This window comes from Homo sapiens, chromosome 5 (genome assembly GCF_000001405.40).
Source record: "Homo sapiens chromosome 5, GRCh38.p14 Primary Assembly".
NCBI classification, from domain to species: domain Eukaryota; kingdom Metazoa; phylum Chordata; class Mammalia; order Primates; family Hominidae; genus Homo; species Homo sapiens.
The window spans coordinates 58,561,984-58,563,665 of record NC_000005.10 but is presented as its reverse complement, the minus strand read 5'-3'; the positions used below and the strand labels follow the sequence as shown (position 1 = coordinate 58,563,665).

The window sequence follows — 1,682 nt, the reverse complement described above, 5'->3', positions numbered from 1 at the left end:
GCGTCTCTGCCCGGCCGCTCTTTGTCTGGGAGGTGGGGAGCACCTCTGCCCAGCCGCCCCGCCTGGGAAGTGAGGAGTGCCTCTGCCCAGCCACCCTTCATCTGGGAGGTGGGGAGTGCCTCTGCCCGGCTGCCCTGTCTGGGAGGTGAGGAGCGCCTCTGCCTGGCCACCCCGTCTGGGATGTGGGGAGCGCCTCTGCCCAGCTGCCCATCGTCTGGGAGGTGAGGAGCGTCTTTGCCCCGCCACCCCACCTGAGAAGTGAGGAGTGCCTCTGCCAGGCCGCCCATCATCTGGGAGGTGACGAGCGCCTCTGCCCAGCCACCCTGTCTGGGATGTGGGGAGCGCCTCTGCCTGGCCGCCCATCGTCTGGGAGGTGAGGAGTGTCTCTGCCCCACCACCACGCCTGGGAGGTGAGGAGCGCCTCTGCCCGGCTGCCCCATCTGGGATGTGAGGAGCGCCTCTGCCCGGCTGCCCCGTCTGGGAAGTGGGGGGCGCCTCTGCCCGGCCGCTGTTTGTCTGGGATATGAGGAGCACCTCTGCCAGGCCACCACCCCGTCTGGGAGGTGAGGAGCGCCTCTGCCTGGCAGCCCCATCTGGGAAGTGAGGAGCGCCTCTGCCAGGCTGCCCCGTCTGGGAAGTGTACCCAACAGCTCCGAAGAGACAGCGACCATCGAGAATGGCCCATGATGACGATGGCGGTTTTGTCGAAAACAAAAGCGGGAAATGTGGGGAAAAGAAAGAGAGATCAGATTGTTACCGTGTCTGTGTAGAAAGAAGTAGACATAGGAGACTCCATTTTGTTCTGTACTAAGAAAAATTCTTCTGCCTTGGGATGCTGTTAATCTATAACCTTACCCCCACCCCCCTGCTCTCTGAAATATGTGCTGTGTCAACTCAGGGTTAAATGGATTAAGGGCAGTGCAAGATGTGCTTTGTTAAACAGATGCTTGAAGGCAGCATGCTCGTTAAGAGTCATCACCACTCCCTAATCTCAAGTACCCAGGGACACAAACACTGCGGAAGGCCGCAGGGACCTCTGCCTAGGAAAACCAGAGACCTTTGTTCTCGTGTTTATCTGCTGACCTTCTCTCCACTATTATCCTATGACCCTGCCACATCCCCCTCTCTGAGAAACACCCAAGAATGATCAATAAATACTAAAAAAAAAATAAAAAGAATTATTATTATAATCCCATTTTATAGGTGAGGAAACAAAGCTAAAGGTAAAGTGAATTGCCAAGGGTCACATGTCAACCAAATTGGAGACCAAAAACTGGAACCCGGTTTTTCAAAAGAAGCAATGGCTTACATGGGACATAATAGCCATTCAAGGAAATACAAGGTGATTCCCTGGGTCATCACTCCAGCACTTACACTGCTAGGAAAATTGAACAGTTAGACTTGGAGAAATAAATATCACCACTAAAAGGAAGTTACTCACGTAACCCTAAGCATTCAGCAAGGCCCTGAGTTTCTTTCTCCAGTTACATCAGCCTTCTATACAAATCCTAAATCTGGATATTGTTTTCATTGATGCTGGAATTACTCTGGGTTGATTAAATTCATCTGGATAAAAAAATATTGCTCATGTAGAATTTTCAAGCAGTGATACATTTTGTGACAAGATGGTCCTGCTAGACTGAAGTAGAACCTAGATTATTATCATTAATAAAATAATAAGA

General features: G+C 51.6%; 1 annotated feature.

The window, feature by feature from the left end:
* Positions 711–1,236: an enhancer, noted in NCBI's record as "NANOG hESC enhancer chr5:57858257-57858782 (GRCh37/hg19 assembly coordinates)". NCBI's record gives its function as "activates a minimal SCP1, AML or CMV promoter by ChIP-STARR-seq in primed H9 embryonic stem cells {active_cell/tissue: H9 hESC(primed)}" and the evidence as "EXISTENCE:reporter gene assay evidence [ECO:0000049][PMID:30033119]".